The sequence below is a fragment of the Homo sapiens genome, chromosome 4, assembly GCF_000001405.40.
Source record: "Homo sapiens chromosome 4, GRCh38.p14 Primary Assembly".
Lineage (NCBI taxonomy): Eukaryota > Metazoa > Chordata > Mammalia > Primates > Hominidae > Homo > Homo sapiens.
In genome coordinates, this window is record NC_000004.12 from 9031106 (window position 1) to 9048545 (window position 17440).

At 39.6% G+C, this 17440-nt stretch overlaps 1 long non-coding RNA gene across 2 annotated transcripts in view; it reads right to left on the minus strand.

Moving 5' to 3' along the window:
- LOC105369250 (uncharacterized) overlaps positions 3469-17440 on the minus strand; it is a 117941-nt gene continuing 103969 nt past the window's right edge. The window contains exon 4 of one of the 2 annotated variants that reach the window (XR_001741579.3): positions 3469-4440. This is a non-coding gene — a long non-coding RNA (uncharacterized LOC105369250). Of the gene's footprint in view, positions 4970-17440 lie in introns of both variants that reach the window. The other variant, XR_001741578.3, reaches the window with a different exon arrangement.

A 17440-nucleotide genomic window follows, 5' to 3' on the forward strand; every position in this document is an offset into this window, starting at 1 on the left:
AAAACAAACAAGAAACAACAATGAAAGAGCAAAATTAGCTTGGTGTGGTGGTGCATGCCTGTAATCCTAGCTACTCAGGAGGCTCAGGCACGAGAATCACTTGAACCAGGGAGACAGAGGTTGCAGTGAGCCAAGATTGCACCATTGCACTCCAGCCTGGGCAACAGAGTGAGACTCTCTCCAAAAGGAAGAAAAAAAAAGTATCCGGGCTTGGTGGCATGCGCCTGTAGTCTCAGCTACTCTGAAGGCTGAGATGGGAGGGTGGATTGAGGCCAGGAGTAATTTGAGGCTGCAGTGAACTATGATTGTGACACTGCACTCCAGCCTGGACTGCAGAGCAAGACCCTGTCTCTTATACGTACACACACACACACACACACACACACACACACACACACACACACACACATACATACATACATACCCGGGCTCTACCTCTGGTGATTCTGACTCAGTAGGGTGGGGTGTCCCCTAGGGATCCTGCTGTTCAGCCTGGTCTGGGATCCACTTTTCATTGGGAACTGAGACACTGGCTGTGAGCCTTTCTGTCCTGTGATGTAGAGGTCATGGCGATGCAGTTTCAAGCTTAAGGAGACCTGACTGTGCGTTAGGTGTTGTGCTGAACATCATCTCTTACTCTCACAGCAACATCCTTAGAAGGTTAATGATGTATCCCTGCTCTACAGATGAGGAACTGAGCTTTCAGAGGAGTTTAGCTTGTTCAAAACTTATTCTTCCTATGGAAACTTTGTACCCTTTGACCAGTGTCTCCTATCCCCTACCTTTCCTCCACCCCAGCCCCTGATAACCACTGTCCTACTCTCTATTTCTGTGAGTTCAACTTCTTTAGATTCCACATATAATAAAATCATGCAGTATTTGTCTTTCTGTGCCTGGCTTATTTCACTTAACACAATGTCTTTCAAGTTCATCTATGTTGTTGAAAATGACAGGATTTCTTTCTTTTTTAAGGGTTAATAGTATTCCGTTGTGTGTATATAGTACATTTTCTTTATCCTTTCATCCACTGATGGACACTCAGGTTGATTCTATATCTTGGGTATTGTGAATAGAGCTGCAGTGAACATAGAAATGTAGGGATCCCTTCGACATATTGATTTTGATTTTTTTTTTGGTCTATATCCAGAAGTTGGGTTGCTGGATTATATGTTTTGAAATCTATAGCACAGCAGCGTGACTATAGTCAATAATAATGTATCTTTCAAAATAACTAAATGGGTACATTTCAAATGTCGCATCATGAAAATTGTCAGTAAATTAGGGGATGGACCTGTTCATTAGTTTGATCTAATCATCCCACATTGCATACACATATCAAAACATCACATACATTGGTACAATTATGATTTGTCAATTAAAATAACGTTAGTTAAAAAAATAAGTAACTTGTTCAAAGCCCCAGTTGGGATTGATGGAGCTGGGACATGCACCAAGGCTATTGCTGTCAGGCCCACAGAGTCCTTTGTCCACGAATGTTGAAGCCCTACCTGAGATTTCTACTGAGATCAGTGTAGGGATTCAATGTCTCAGAATCATCCCATCCTCCAGGGCCCACAAGTCCATGACCGCTGCCTCTACCCCTGACCCTACTGACCTGAAATATGGCCCCTGCTTTCTTTTCCAGGAGCATACAACACTTACACCAAGCATTGATGGGATTTGTTGACTTCATTTGAGATGTGGGGCCATGGAGAGGGTCCCATGATCCTTGCTTGGTGTTGGCCAACTCATTGACTTCTCTCCTTTGACTTCACCCTTCCCTTTTCTACTCACCTCCTCTGTCATGGATTGCTCTGGGAATTCTGAGCCCTGGTTCCTTTATTTTGCAGATAACCTTCACTCTTCTCTGCAACGAATCCCAAAAGTGTGTAGTTGAGCTGACTGCAAGGTGCTTGACACGCAAGAGAATTTATAAATGGGATTCGGCCTCTGGAAAGTGGTGGTAGTTCCAGATTTATGTGGATGTTACTTTGTTTTTCCCTATAAAATCTATTCTTTAAACTGTCAAGCTCTTGGCTCCTGGCTGCAGTCCTTTGCTGGTGGCAGTGGGCTGGGTACTGCCACCGGGGAGAAATGCTCCCCACTTAGGGAAAGGGAAACTGGTTCTCTTTAAGAGGCAGAGGGAGGTTTCCAGTGCCAGTTTGTTTGGAGGCAAAATGGCTGTTGTATTAAAATTGCCCAAACTTGGGCTGGTGCCTAGTGTGTTTAGAGCTCAAAGCCATGATTGTTTTCATTTTTTTTTTTTTGGTTGTTGGTTTTCCATCCTTTTGCATGGCAGGTTTCTGCTAATAGCTTCAACCTCAAGAGTCCCATTATACAGACACTAATAGCACCTACTGTGTGTCAGTCTGTAGTGCCTACTATGTGCCAGGCATTGGAGATAATATAATGATGAACAAGATAAACATGGCATTTGGAAAAGAGAGTCTGGTTCCCACTCTCAGCCCACCCCAAAGAGAGGCCAGAATTGGGCTTCCAAAGATCTCAGATTCCTTTGCATCACCTCCCTGAAGAGAGCGGGTGAAGCTTTGGTGTCTGAAGAGAATTTGGCTGGACAATCCTCCAGGTTTGGAATGATGGGAAGGAGCTGCCATCTGTGTTTAAGATGAGAAGTAGGGGAGTGGCTGGATATCAGAGGAAGCCAAGATGAACAGAAGGTTTTTGTGAGTTCCTATGCATAGTGGAGACCTGTTCTAGTGAGGGTCCCTGGGGCTGAGCCTGTGGGTCAGTGGAATGATGCTGTGAGGAGGGTCTTGCTATAGCAGATGGCCCAAAGACGGTTGATGGATCATGATCAGCTGGAAGAATGGAGAGTTCGGAGGATGTAGATCTTACCTGGCTTTCCAACAGTGTGTAAGCCCAGAATTCTTACATAAGCCCATGGAGAAGGGAAAGAAATGCTTGTAACGACAAGATTGAATTCTCCACCTACCAGGCATCCAGGGACTCAGAGCAGATTTAACTGAAGTTACAGAAATAGGAATGTGACATTTCCTACATCCGGGTGTGCTGGAGCAAATGTATACCCTCCCTGGTTTGTGGGGAAGGAGAATGCTAACAGACAAGACTCCAGGTTTTCGCTCTTAAACCTGGTGCCTAGAAATGCATTTTCTACTGAATGCAGACAGAAGCTCCATATAGACATATCCATCGCTGCATCTCTCATGCCTTGTGTTCTCCCTAATTTTCCCTTTTTAACCCACAGAGGAAGAAAGTTCCAGCATCACTTCTGGCCTCTCAAGTGTGAGTTAGGTGGCCAGGTGGGGTTATTCATGCCTGTAATCTCATACTGAAGGGGTGGCCTGCCCCTCCACACCTGTGGGTATTTCTTGTTGGGTGGGATGAGAGACAGAAAAGAAATCAGACACAGAAACAAAGTATAGAGAAACAACAGTGGGCCCAGGGTACCGGCGCTTAGCATACCAAGGACCTGCACTGGCACCGGTCTCTGAGTTCCCTCAGTTTTTATTGAATACTATCTTTATTATTTCAGCAAAAAGGAATGTAGTAGGAGGGCAGGGTGATAATAAGAAGGTCAGCAACAAACATGTGAGCAATAGAATCTATGTCATAATGAAGTTCAAGGGAAGGTACTATGACTGAACGTGCATGTAAGCCAGATTTATGTTTCTCTCCACCCAAACATCTCAGTGGAGTAAAGAATATCAAGGCAGTATTGCTGTAAACATGTCTCACCTCCCACCATAGGGCGGTTTTTCTCCCATCTCAGAATTGAACAAATGTACAATCGTGTTTTATACCGAGACATTCAGTTCCCAGGGGCAGGCAGGAGACAGTGGCCTTCCTCTATCTCAAATGCAAGAGTCTTTCCTCTTTGACTAATCCACCTCAGCACAGACCTTTTATGGGTGTCGGGCTAGGGGACCGTCAGGCCTTTCTCATCCCACGAGGCCATATTTCAGACTATCACATGGGGGGAAACTTTGAATAATACCCAGCTTTCAAGGGCAGAGGTCCCTGCGGCTTTCCACAGTGCATTGTGCCCCTGGTTTATTGAGACAAGAGAATGGTGATGACTTTTACCAAGTATACTGCTTGCAAACATTTGGTTAACAAGGCACATCCTGCACAGCCCTACATGCCTTAAACCTTGATTTCATACAACACATGTTTTTGTGAGCTCCAGACTGGGTCAAAGTGGTTGGGGCAAAGTGGCTGGGGCAAAGCTACAGATTAACAACATCTCAGCAAAGCAATTGTTTAAAGTACAGGTCTTTTTCCAAATGGAGTCTCTTATGTCTTCCCTTTCTATGTAGACACAGTAAGAGTCTGTAAGAGTCTGATCTCTCTTTCTTTTCCCTACATATCCCCCTTTTCGTTTTGAAAAAACCACCACCATCATCATGGCCCCTTCTTGCTGGTCGCTGTCTCTCTGGAGCTGCTGGATACAACTGTAGACTAAAAATAGAAAGGACAGATATACAAGGATTAATACAAAATTTGCAATAGTGGAATTTCCGGTGGTTTTAACCCAAGTGACGGGGGCAAGAGGACGGTGTGGGTGCTGTGGCACCCGGGCAGTCTCCCACCTCCTTTGTGTCTTAGTTGCTGTTTCTCATCGTTTTCAGTCTTTCTCCTCACCTGCTCACTCGCACCTTTTATCTCTTTGTCTCCCTTCTCTTACGGTCTCTCTCTCTCTCTCTATTTTATACTATCTCTCTCCCCAGTCTCACTTTCTGTGTCTCTCTCTGATCTCTGTCTCTTTTTCTTTCTCTTCCTCTCCCTGACTCTCCACATGTGCAGTTTCCTTGGTGGATTGTAACTTCATCTGTTCTTCTGATATCACCATTTTGTTCACCCTGCGAGTCGATGATGCTCGATTGCGGGTTTTCTGTCTCTGCAGAGGCACTTTCATTTGCATCCCTGATGAGTTCATTGTAGAATTTCAAATGTCTAGTGGGTATCCAAACAGGAAGCTGATTTTCTCCTGGTGAAACACAAGCAAAACCTCTCCCCCATGTTATCACTTTACCTATTTCCCATGTTTTGTTTTTGTTGTCTTTCCACCAAATCAGTTTTCCCTCATGTGGGCTGTTCTTTTTACCAGTAAAATGTTCTGCAGAAGTAGTGGTCTGATTTCTATGTATGTCTAGAAAATCTAAAGTATAGAGTGTTAGATTAAGTTGCATCTGGGGAGTGCTATACTCCTTATTGTCTTTTTCCTTTTTTTGTTTAAGCAATTGAGCTTTGAGTGTTCTAAGCAGGACAGGTAAGATCTGCGTCTGACACAGTCAGCCAGGTCTCCTTACCCTCTGCTTCCCTTTCTGCCTGTGACTGAATGGGCATGTCAAGGTCTAGTAGGGGATCCAGGAGGAGGAAGCCTCATTAACTTCTATTCTGCAGCAATTGATGGCCATCCAACTTGAACAGTGGGGGCTTATCACCTCATATACTAAGACCAGAGATAGCTGATGCCAAGGTTGGCTAAATTAGTAGCTTGAAATGTTAGGTTTTTCATTTGAGGTTTCTATGCTGCTATTGTCTTCTGCTCTTGGTCACAGAGACTGCCACAATCGGCATGTCAAGTCCTCATGTGACAATATCCAGACACAGCAAGGAAGAGGTACAGTGTATTCCTGCATGTTTCTTAAAAAAATGTTTTTGATAGAGAATAATTGTACAAATTTATGGGGTCCATGTGAGATTCTGGTACATGCATGCAATGTGTAATGATCAAATCAGGGTCTTTAGGATATTAATCACCTCAAACATTGATCATTTCTTTGTGTTGGGAATATTTCAAATCTTATTGCTATTTAGAAATACACAAAAAATCTATTTATCAGGATACAAAATCTATGTACACATATCAGTAGCGGTGCTATACACCAACATCTACCAGGCTGAGAATCAAATCAAACCCTTTTATGATAGCTGTAAAAATAAAATACTTACGAATGTAACTAACCAAGGAGGTGAAAGACCCCTACAAGGAAAACTACAAAACACTGTTGAAAGAAATCATAGATGACAAAAACAAAAGGAAACACATTCCATGCTCATGGATGGGTAGACTCAATATTGTGAAAATGACCATACTGCCAAAAGCAGTCTACAAATTCAATGCAATTCCTATCAATGTACCATCATCATTCTTTATAGAATTAGAAAAAAAATGCCAAAATTCATTTGGAACTAAAAAAGAGTCTGCAAAGCCAAAGCAAAACTAAGCAAAAAGAACCAATCTAGAGGCATCACATTATCCAACTTCAAACTATATTACAAGGCTATAGTCACCAAAACAGCACGGTGCTGGTATAAAAATAGTCACATGACCAATGGGACAGAGTAGAGAAGCTAGAAATAAAGCCAAATACTTAACAGCCAACTGATCTTCGACAAAGTAAACAAAAACAAAGTAAGAAAAGTACACCGTATACAACAAATAGTGCTGGGATAATTGGCAAGCCACATGTAGAAGAATAAAACTGTATCCTTATCTCTCACCTTATACAAAAATCAACACAAGATGGATCAAAGACTTAAATCTAAGGTCTGAAACCATAAAAATTCTAGAAGATAACATTCGAAAATGCTTCTACACATTGGCTTAGGCAAAGAGTTTATGACCAAGAACCCAAAAGCAAATGCAACAGAAACAAAGATAAATAGATGGGACTTAATTAAACTAAAGGCCTCCTGCACAGCATAGGGAATAATCAGCAGAGTAAACAGATCACCCACAGAGTGGGAGAAAATTTTCACAAACTGCATCTGACAAAGGACTAATGTCCAGAATCTACAGGGAACTCTAATCAGCAAGAAAAAAATAATCTCATCAAAAAGTGTGCCAAGGACATGAATAGACAATTCTCAAAAGAAGATATACAAATGGCCAAGAAACATATGAAAAATTACTCAACATCACTAATTACCAGGGCAATGCAAATCAAAACCACAATGCAATACCACTTGTAAAATAAACAAAAAGAGGGCCAGGCGCGGTGGCTCACGCCTGTAATCCTAGCACTTTGGGAGGCCAAGGTGGGCGGATCATGAGGTCAGGAGTTTGAGACCAGGTGACCAACATGGTGAAACCCAGTCTCTACTGAAAATACAAAAATTAGCCGGGCATGGTGGCAGTTGCCTGTAATCCCAGCTACTCAGGAGGCTGAGGCAGGAGAATTGCTTGAACCTGGGAGGCAGAGGTTGCAGTGAGCTGATATGGCACCACTGTACTCCAGCCTGGGCGACAGAGTGAGACTCCATCTCAAAAAAACAAAACAAAACAAAACAAAACAAAAAAACAAAAATTAATGTTGGCATGGATGTGGTGAAAGACAACGCTTTTACACTGATGGTGGGAATGTAAGCTAGTACCACCACTATGGAAAGCAGTATGGAGATTCCTTAAAGAACTAGAAGTACATCTACCGTTTGATCCAGCAATCCCACTGTTAGGTATCTACCCAGAGGAAAAGAAATCATTATATGAAAAAGATACTTTTGCACACATGATTACAGCAGCAGAATTCACAGTTGCAAAACTATAGGTCCAGCCCAAATGCCCATCAATCAATTAATGGATAAAGAAAATGTGTTATATATATATATACCATAGAATACTACTTAGCTTTAAAAAGGAATAAAATAATAGCATTCATAGCAACCTGGATGGAGTTGGAGACCATTATTCTAAATGAAGTAACTCAGGAATGGAAAACCAAACATTGCGTGTTCTCACTCCTAAGTGGGAGCTAAGCTATGATGATGCGAAGGCACAAGAATGAAACAGTGGACTTTGGGGGCTCAGGGGGAAGGTGGAAGGGGGTGAGAGATAAAAGACTATACATTGGGTAAACTGCTTTGCTGATGGGTATGCCAAAATTTCAGAGATCACCACTAAGGAACTTATCCATGTAACAAAATACCACCTGTTCCCTAAAAACTATTGAAATTAAAAAAAAGAAATATACAATAAATTGTTGTAGTCACTTTCTGTGATAATAAACACTAGATCTCATTCCTTCTGTTATATATTTTTATACCCATTAATCAACCTCTTTTCAAACCCCTCCTATTCCCAGCCTCTGGTAACTATCATTCTACTCTTTATTTCCATGATATCAATTTTATATAGCTCCAGGGCACACAAGTCCATAACTGTGGTCTCTATCCCTGACCCTACTGAACTGAAATATGGCCCCGCTTTGATTTCCAGGAGCATAAGCTGCTCATATAAGTGAGAACATGCAATAGTTTTCTTTCTGTGCATGGCCTAGTTCACCTGACATTATGACCTTTAGTTCCATCCATTTAGCTGAAAATGACAGGATTTCATTCTTTTTTATGGCTGAATACTATTCTATTGTGCGTATATTCCCATTTTCTTTATCCATTCATCCATTGATTGACACTTAGATTGATTCCATATCTTGGCTATTGTAAATAGTGCTGCAGTAAATATGGGGGTACAGATATCCCGTTGATACGCTGTTATCTTTTTTTGGATATATACACAGGAGTGGGATTGCTGGATCATATGGTAGATCTGTTCTTAGTTTTTTGAGAAATCTCTGCACTTTTTTTCATAATGGCTGTACTAATTTACATTCCCACCAACAATATACAATAATTTTCTTCACATGCTTGACAGCGTTTGTTGTGCTTTGTCTTTTTAATACCCATTCTAACAAGTGTGAGATGATATCTCATTGTGGTTTTGATTTGCATTTCCGTGATGATTAGTGATGTTGAATATTTTTTCATAAACTTGGTGATTTGTATATTTTCTTTTGAGAAATGTCTGTTTATTTTTTGATAGTTTCTTTAGCTGTGCAGAAGCTCTTTCATGTAATTAGATCCCATTTGTCAATTTTTGCTTTTGTGGCAATTGCGTTTGGCATCTTCACCATGAACTCTTTGCCCATCACTATGTACCGGATGGTATTGCCTAGGTTGTCTTCAGCGTTTTTATAGTTATGGGTTTTACATTTAAGTCTGTAGGCCATCTTGAGTTAATTTTTGTGTATGGTGTAAGGGAGGGGTGTTGTCTTTTCACTCTGTTGATTGTTTTCGTTGATATGCGGAAGGTATTTAGTTTAATATAATCCCATTTGTCTGTTTTTGTTGCTTGTACTTTTTAAGTGTTAGCCATACAATCTTTGTTCTCAAGCGTTTCTCCTGTGTTTACTTCTAGTAGTTTCATAGTTGTGGCTGTTACATTTAAGTCTTTAATTGATTTTGAGTTTATTTTTGTAAGTGATGAGAGATATGGGTCTAGTTTTATTCTTCTGTGTTTGGATATCTAGTTTTCCTGGCACCATTTAATGAAGAAGGTGTCCTTTATTCAATATATGTTCTTGACAGCTTTCTTGAAAATCAGTTAGCTGTAAATATGTGGATTCATTTCTGCATTCTTTAGTCTTTTTCCTTTGTTTTTGTGTCTGTTTTAATACCAATACACGCTGTTTTGGTTACTGTAGCTTTGCAGTATACATATATACGTATATATGTATATACATATATATGTATATACATACACACACACAGATATACATATATACATATATATACACGTATATATACGTATATACGTGTATATATACGTATATACACGTGTATACACGTATATACACGTATATATACGTATATACACGTATATACACGTGTATATACGTATATATACGTATATACACGTGTATATACGTATATATACGTGCATATATACGTATATATACGTGTATATATACATATATATACATATATACATATATACGTGCATATATACATATATACGTGCATATATACATATATACGTGCATATATACATATATACATATATACATATATACGTGTATATATACATATATACATATATACGTGTATATATACATATATACGTGTATATATACATATATACATATATACGTGTATATATACATATATACGTATACATATATACGTGTATATATACATATATACGTGTATATATACATATATACGTATATATATACGTGTATATATACATATATACGTATATATATACGTGTATATATACATACATACGTATATATATACGTGTATATATACGTATATACATATATACGTATATGTATACATATATATACACATATATATACATATATACGTATATGTATACATATATATACACATATATACATATATACGTATATGTATACATATATATACACATATATATACATATATATGTTTTTTTTTTCTTTTTGAGATGGAGTCTTGCTCTGTTGCTGAGGCTGGAGTGCAGTGGCGTGATCTCTGCTCACTGCAAGCTCTTCCTCCCGGGTTCATGCCATTCTCCTGCCTCAGCCTCCCGAGTAGCTGCTGGGACTACAGATGCCCACCACCACGCCTGGCTATTTTTTTTTTTTTTTTTTAGTAGAGACGGGGTTTCACCGTGTTAGCCAGGATGATCTCGATCTCCTGACCTTGTGATCCACCTGCCTTGGCCTCCCAAAGTGCTGGGATATAGGCTTGAGCCACCTCGCCCAGCCTCTTTGCAGTATATTTTTAAATCAGGTAGTGTGAGGCTTCTAGCTTTGTTCTTTTTGCTCAGTATTGCTCTGGCTATTTGGGGTCTTCTGTGGTTCCATATGAATTTCAGGTTTTTTTTCCTGTTTCTGTGAAGAATATAATTGATAGGGATTATAGTGAATCTCTAGATTGCTTCGGGTAGTATGGTCATTTTAACAGTATTAGTTATTCCAACCCACGAGCATAGGATGCCTTTCCATTTGCTTGTGTCCTTCTCAATTTATTTTATCAGTGTTTTGTGGTTTTCATTGTAGAGGTTTTTTTTTTTTTTTTTTTTTTTCCTCATCCTTGGTTAAGTTTATTCCTAGGTATTTTATTTTTGTGGCTATTGTAAATAGAATTTCTTCCTTGATTTCTATTTTAGCTAGTTTGTTACTGGTATATAGAAACATTACTGATTTTTGTATGTTGATTTTGTGTCCTGAAGCTTTACTGAATTATACATCCGTTTTTAAAAATGTTTTTTATTTTTTATTTTTTGAGAGAGTCTCACTCTGTTTTCCAGGCTGGAGTGCAGTGGTGCAATCTTGGCTTACTGCAACCTCCACCTCTCGGGTTCAAGCGATTCTCCTGCATCAGCCTCCCAAGTAGCTGGGATTACAGGCACCTACCACCATGCCTGGCTAATTGTATTTTTGGTAGAGACAGGGTTTCACCATGTTGGCCAGGCTGGACTCAAACTCCCAACCTCAGCTGATCCATCCACCTTGTCCTCCCAAAGTGCTGGGATTACAGGCATGAGCTACCATGCCCAGCCTAATTTATTTTAAGAGTTTTTTGGTAGAGTCTTTAGGTTTTTCTGTTTACAGGTATAAGATTATGTCATTTGCAAAGTGAGACAATTTGACTTCCTTTTGTCCATTTGGATGCCTTTTATTTCTTTATCTTGTCTGATCACTCTGGCTTGGATGTCCCATACTGTGTTGAATAAGAGTGGTGAAAGTGGGCATCCTTCTCTTGTTCCAGTTCTTAGAGGAAAGGCTTTTCAATATTTCCCAGTGAGTAGGATGTTAACTGTAGATTTGTCATATATGCCTTTTCTTAGGTTGAAGTGTTCCTCGTATGCATAATTTGTTGAGAGTTTTCATCATGAAGGAATGGTAAGTTTTACTGAGTGATTTTTCTGCATCTGCTGAGATGATCAGATAGCTTGTGCCTTTCATCTTGTTGATGTGATGTATCACATGTATTGATTTGTGTATGTTGAGCCATCTTTGCATTCCTGGGATAAATCCCACTTGATCATGGTATATTATCTTTTTCATTCATCATTAGATTTGGCTTGGTAGTATTATGCTGAGAATTTTACCATCTATGTTCATTAGGAATATTGGCCTGTAGTTTTCTGCTTTTGTTGTGTCCTTGTCTTGATTGGATATCAGGGTAATGCTGGCCTTATACAATGAGTTAGGAAGAATTCCTTCCTCTTCAATTTTTGGGAATAGTTTGAGAAGAATTGGTGTTTGTTTTTCTTTACAAATTGGGTAGAAATCAACATAAAAGCCCAGTCTAGGGCTTTTCTCTTTTGGGAGACTTTTTGTTACTGATTCAAATCTGCTATTCATTTTGGGTCAGTTCAGGTTTTCTTTTTCTTCCTAGTTGAATCTTGGTAGGCTGTGTATGTCTGGGAATTTATCCCTTTCCTCTAGGTTTTCCAATTTGTTAGCATATGGTTGTTCATAGTAGCCTCTAATGATCCTTTTTATTTCTTTGGTAACAGTTGTAAAGTCTCCTTTTTCATTTCTGATTGTATTTATTTGGGTCTCTTTTTTTTTTTTTTTTTTTTTTTTTTGGTTAGCCTCACTAGTGGTTTATCAATTTTTTTAACTTTTCAAAAAACCAACTTTTATCTTGTTGATTCTTTGCATTTCTTTTTTGTCTCTGTTGCATTTGGTTCTGCTATTTTATTTATATTTTTTCTTTCTACTAATTGTGTGTTTGATTTGTTCTTGCTTTTTGAATTCCTTGAGGTGCATCATTAGGTTGTTTATTTAAAATCTTTCTACTTTTTTGGTGTAGGCATTTATTGCTATAAACTTTCCTCCTAGTACTGCTTTTGCTGTATCCCATAGGTTTTGCATGATGTGTTTCCATTTTCTGTTTAAAAAAAATTTTTGATGTCCATCTTAATTTCTTCATTGACCCAATGATTATTCAATAGCATGTTTAATGTCCATGTATTTGTACAGTTTCCAAATTTCTTCTTCTTATTGATTTCAAGTTTTATTCCATTGTGGTCTGAGAAGATACTTGATATGATTTTAATTTTTAAAATTTTATTGAGCCTTGTTCTGTGTCTTAACATATGGTCTATCCTGGAGAATGTTCCATGTGTTGATGAGATGATTGTGTATTCTGCTGCTGCTGGATGAAATATTCTGAAAATATCTGTTAGGTCCATTTGGTCTAAAGTGCAGCTTAAATCTAATGTTTCTTTGTTGATTTTATGTCTAGATGAACTGTCCAATGCTGACAGTAGGATATTGAAGTTCTCAACTATCATTGTATTGGACTCTCTCTCTCCATGTAGATTTAATAATATTTGCTATATGTCTCTGGATGCGCTTGTGTTGGTTGCATGCATATTGGGAATTGTTATACTTTGTTGCTGAATTGATCCCTTTATTACCATAAAATGACCTTCTTTGTCCTTTTTACAGTTTTTGGCTTAAAGTCTGTTTTATCTGATGTAAGTTTAGCTACTCCTGATTATTTTTGATTTCTGTTTCTGTGGTATATCTTTTTCCATCCCTTCACTTTCAGTCTGTGTGTGTCTTTACAAGTGAAGTGAGTTTCTTGTAGACGTTGTTGGGTCATTTTTTATCCATTAAGCCTGTCTCTATCTTTAGGTAGGTAATTTAACCAATATTCGAAGTTATTATTGATAGGTGAGGACTTATTCCAGTCATTTTGTTCATTGTTTTCTGGTTATTTTGTATATCCTTTTGGTATGGTTTGGCTGTGTCCCCACTCAGATCTCATCTTGAATTCCCATGTGTTGTGGGAGGGACCCAGTGGGAAGTAGTTGAATCATGGAGGCAGGTATTTCCCATGCTATTCTTTTAATAGTGAATAAGTCTCATGAGATCTGATGGTTTTAAAAGGTGGAGTTTCCCTGCTCAAGCTCTCTCTTTGCCTGCTGCCATCCCTGTAAGATGTGACTTGCCTCTCCTTGACTTCTGCAATGATTTTGAAGCCTCCCCAGCAATGTAGAACTGTAAGTCCATTAAATCTCTTTCTTTTGTAAATTTCCCAGTCTTGAATGTGTCTTTATCAGCTGTGTGAAAATGGACTAATACAGTAAATTAGTACCAGAAGTGGGGTGTTGCTAAAAGATACCTGAATATGTGGAAGTGACTTTGGAACTGGGAAACAGGCAGAGGTTGGAACAGTTTGGAGGGCTCAGAAGGAGACAGGAAAATGTGGGAAAATTTGGAAGAGGTTTCCTAGAGACTTGCCCAAAATGCTGATGGTTATATGGACAATAAAGTCTAGGATGAGGTTGTCTCAGATGGAAATGAGGAACTTGTTAGGAACTGGCACAATGGTGACTCCTGTTATGTTTTAGCAAAGAGACTGGTGGCATTTTGCCCCTGCTGTAGAGATTTGTGGAATTTTGAACTTGAGAGATTTAGGGTATCTGATAGGGTATTTGAACTTGAGATTTAGGGTATCTGATAGAAGAAATTTCAAGCAGCAAAGCATTCAAGAGATGACTTGGGTGCTGTTAAAGGCCTTCAGTTTTATAAGGGAAGCAGAGCATGAAAGTTTGGAAAATCTGCAGCCTGACAATGCAATAGAAAAGAAAATCCCATTTTCTCAAGGAAAATTCGATCTGGCTGCAGAAGTTTGTTTAAGTAACAAGGAGTCAAATGTGAATCCCCAAGACAATGGGGAGAATGTCTCCAGGGCATGTCACAGGTCTTCTTGGCAGCTTCTCCTATCAAACGTCCAGAGGCCTAGGAAGAAAAGATGTTTTTTTGGGCTGGACCCAGGGACCCCTGTTGTGAGCAGCCTAGGGTGCCTGAGTCCTAGCCACTCCAGCTGCAGCTGAAAGGAGCCAAGGTACAACGTGGGCTGTTGCTTCAGAGGGTGCAAGCCCCAAGCCTTAGCAGCTTCCACATAGTGTTGAGCCTGTGGGTGCACAGAAGTCAAAAATTGAGGTTTGGGAACTGCTGCCTAGATTTCAGAAGGTGTATGGAAATGCCTAGATATCCAGTCAGGAGTTTGCTGCAGGGGCAGGGCACTCATGGAGAACCTCTACTAGGGCACTGCAGAAGGGAAATGTGGGTTCGGAGCCCCCACATAGAGTCCTTACTGCAGCGCCACCTAGTGGAGCTGTGAGAAGAGGGCCACCATCCTCCAGACCCCAGAATGGTGGATTCACTGACAGCTTGCACTGTGTGACTGGAAAAGCTGCAGACACTCAATGCCAACCCGTGAGAGGAGCCAGGAGGGGGTTTAAACCATACAAAGCCACAGGAGTGGAGCTGTGGCCTTTTTTCTCCCAAGGCCATGGGAGCCCACCTCTTACATCAGCATGACCTGTATGTGAGACATGGAGTCAAAGGAGATCATTTTGGAGCTTTGAGATTTGACTGCCTCACTGGATTTTGGGCTTGCATGGGTCCTGTAGCCCCTTTGTTTTGGCAATTTTCTGCCATTTGGAATGACTGTGTTTACCCAATGCCTATACCCCCATTGTATCTAGGAAGTAACTAACTTATTTTTGATTTTACATGCTCATATGCAGAAGGGATTTGCCTTGTCTCACATGAGACTTTGGACTGTGGACTTTTGAGTTAATGCTGAACTTAGTTAAGACTTTGGGGGACTGTTGGGAAGGCATGATTGGTTTTGAAATCTGAGGATATGAGATTTGGGAAGGGCCAGGGGCAGAATGATATGGTTTGGTTGTGTCCCCACCCAAGTCTCATCTTGAATTCCCACATGTTGTGGGAGGGACCTGGTGGGAAGTAATTGAGTCATGGGGGCAGGTCTTTCCCATGCTGTTCTCATGATAGTGAATACGTCTCACAAGGTCTGATGGTTTTGAAAAGGGTAGTTTCTCTGCAGAAGCTCTATCTTTGATTGCTGCCATCCATGTGAGACATGACTTGCTTCTTCTTGCCTTCCAACATGATTCTTAGGCTTCCTCAACTATGTGGAAGAGTAAGTCCATTAAAACTCTTTCTTTTGTAAAATGCCCAGTCTCAGTCACGTATGTCTTTATCAGCAGTGTGAAAACAGACTAATACACCTTTGTTCCTTTTTTCTCTCATTATTTATGGTTGCAGTTTGGTGGTTTTCTTTAGTGGTGGTGTTTGAATCTTTTCTTCTTTGTGTGTCTGAACTACCAGTGAGTTTTATACTTTCATGTATTTTCATGATGGTAGATATTGTTCTTTTGCTTCCCAATGTAGGACTCCCTTAAACATTTCTTGTAAGACCACAACAAACAAGACACAAACAAACAGTCTTTTGCTTATCTGGGAAATCCTTTTTTCTCTTTTATTATTACTATTTTTTTTAGCAATGGAGTCTCACTCTGTCACCCAGGCTGGAGTACAGTGGCATGATCATAGCTCACTGCAGCCTTGAACTCCTGGGATCAAATGGTTCTCCTGCCTCAGCCTTCTGAGTCTCTGGAACTGCAGATGTGAGCCACTGTGCCAGCCTCCTTCATTTGTGAAGGATAGCTTTGCTGGGTATAGTATTTTTGGCTTACTTTTTTTATTTTTATTTTTTACTTGTAGTATACATCCCCTTTTCTCCTAGCCTGTAAGGTTTCTGCTGAGAAATCCCGTTAGCCTGATGGAGATTCTCTTATAAGTGACTTGATGTCTTTCTCTTGCTGTTTTTAGCATTTTCTCTTTGTCTTTTGACAATTTTACCATAATGTGCCTTGGAGAAGACCTTTTTGAGTTGTATTTATTTGGTAATCTTTGAGCTTCCTGCATTTGGAAGCATTCAGGAAGTTTTCAGTTATTATTTCATTAAATAGGTTTTTTATGCCTTTACCCATCTCATCTCCATCCAGAACTCCCAGAATTTCAGTTTTTGGTCACATATGTGTCCCATATATCATGTAGCCTTGCTTCATTGTTTTTTCTTTCTTTTTGTCTGACTGGATTATTTTAAAAGACTAGCCTTCAGGTTCAGAAATTCTTTGTTTTGCTTGATCTAGTCTATTGTTAAAACTGTCAATTATCTTTTGTATTTATTTCAATGATTTATTGTCTTCCAGGATTTGTGTTTGGTTCTTTGTTATGCTGTCTATCTCTGTTGAATTTGTCATTCAGATCATGAATTGTTTTCCTGTTTTTTTTTTTTTGTATTCATTATCTGTGTTCTCTTGTATCTCCCTGAGTTTCTTTAATAACATTATTCTGAATTTTTTTCAGGCATTTCATAGATTTTCTTTTCATTGGATCTGTTGCTGGAGAATTATTGTGCTTCTTTGGAGATGTTATGTTTCCTTTTTCATATTTCTTGCATCCTTATGTGACTATCTGTGCCTCTGAGATAACAGTCATTTCTTCCAATTTTATGGATTGGCTTTTATATGGGAAAGACCTTTTCTTATAGCTGTATCTACAGTGTTCATTGGATATCTCACTTTGGCTTTGATTCTGGGTGGGTACAGTGGTATAGTCTGCATATGATTCCTTCAGCTGTAATTGGCATGAGTGGTGCCTGTGAGTCATTCCGTGGCTTAGACTGCAGTATGTTTTTTGTGGTTGTTGAGATGGAGTCTAGCTCTGTCACCAGGCTGGAGTGCAGTGGCACAATCTCAGCTCACTGCAACTTCTGCCTCCCAGGTTCAAGCAATTCTCCTGCCTCAGCCTCCTGAGTAGCTGGGACTATAGGCACGTGCTACAAT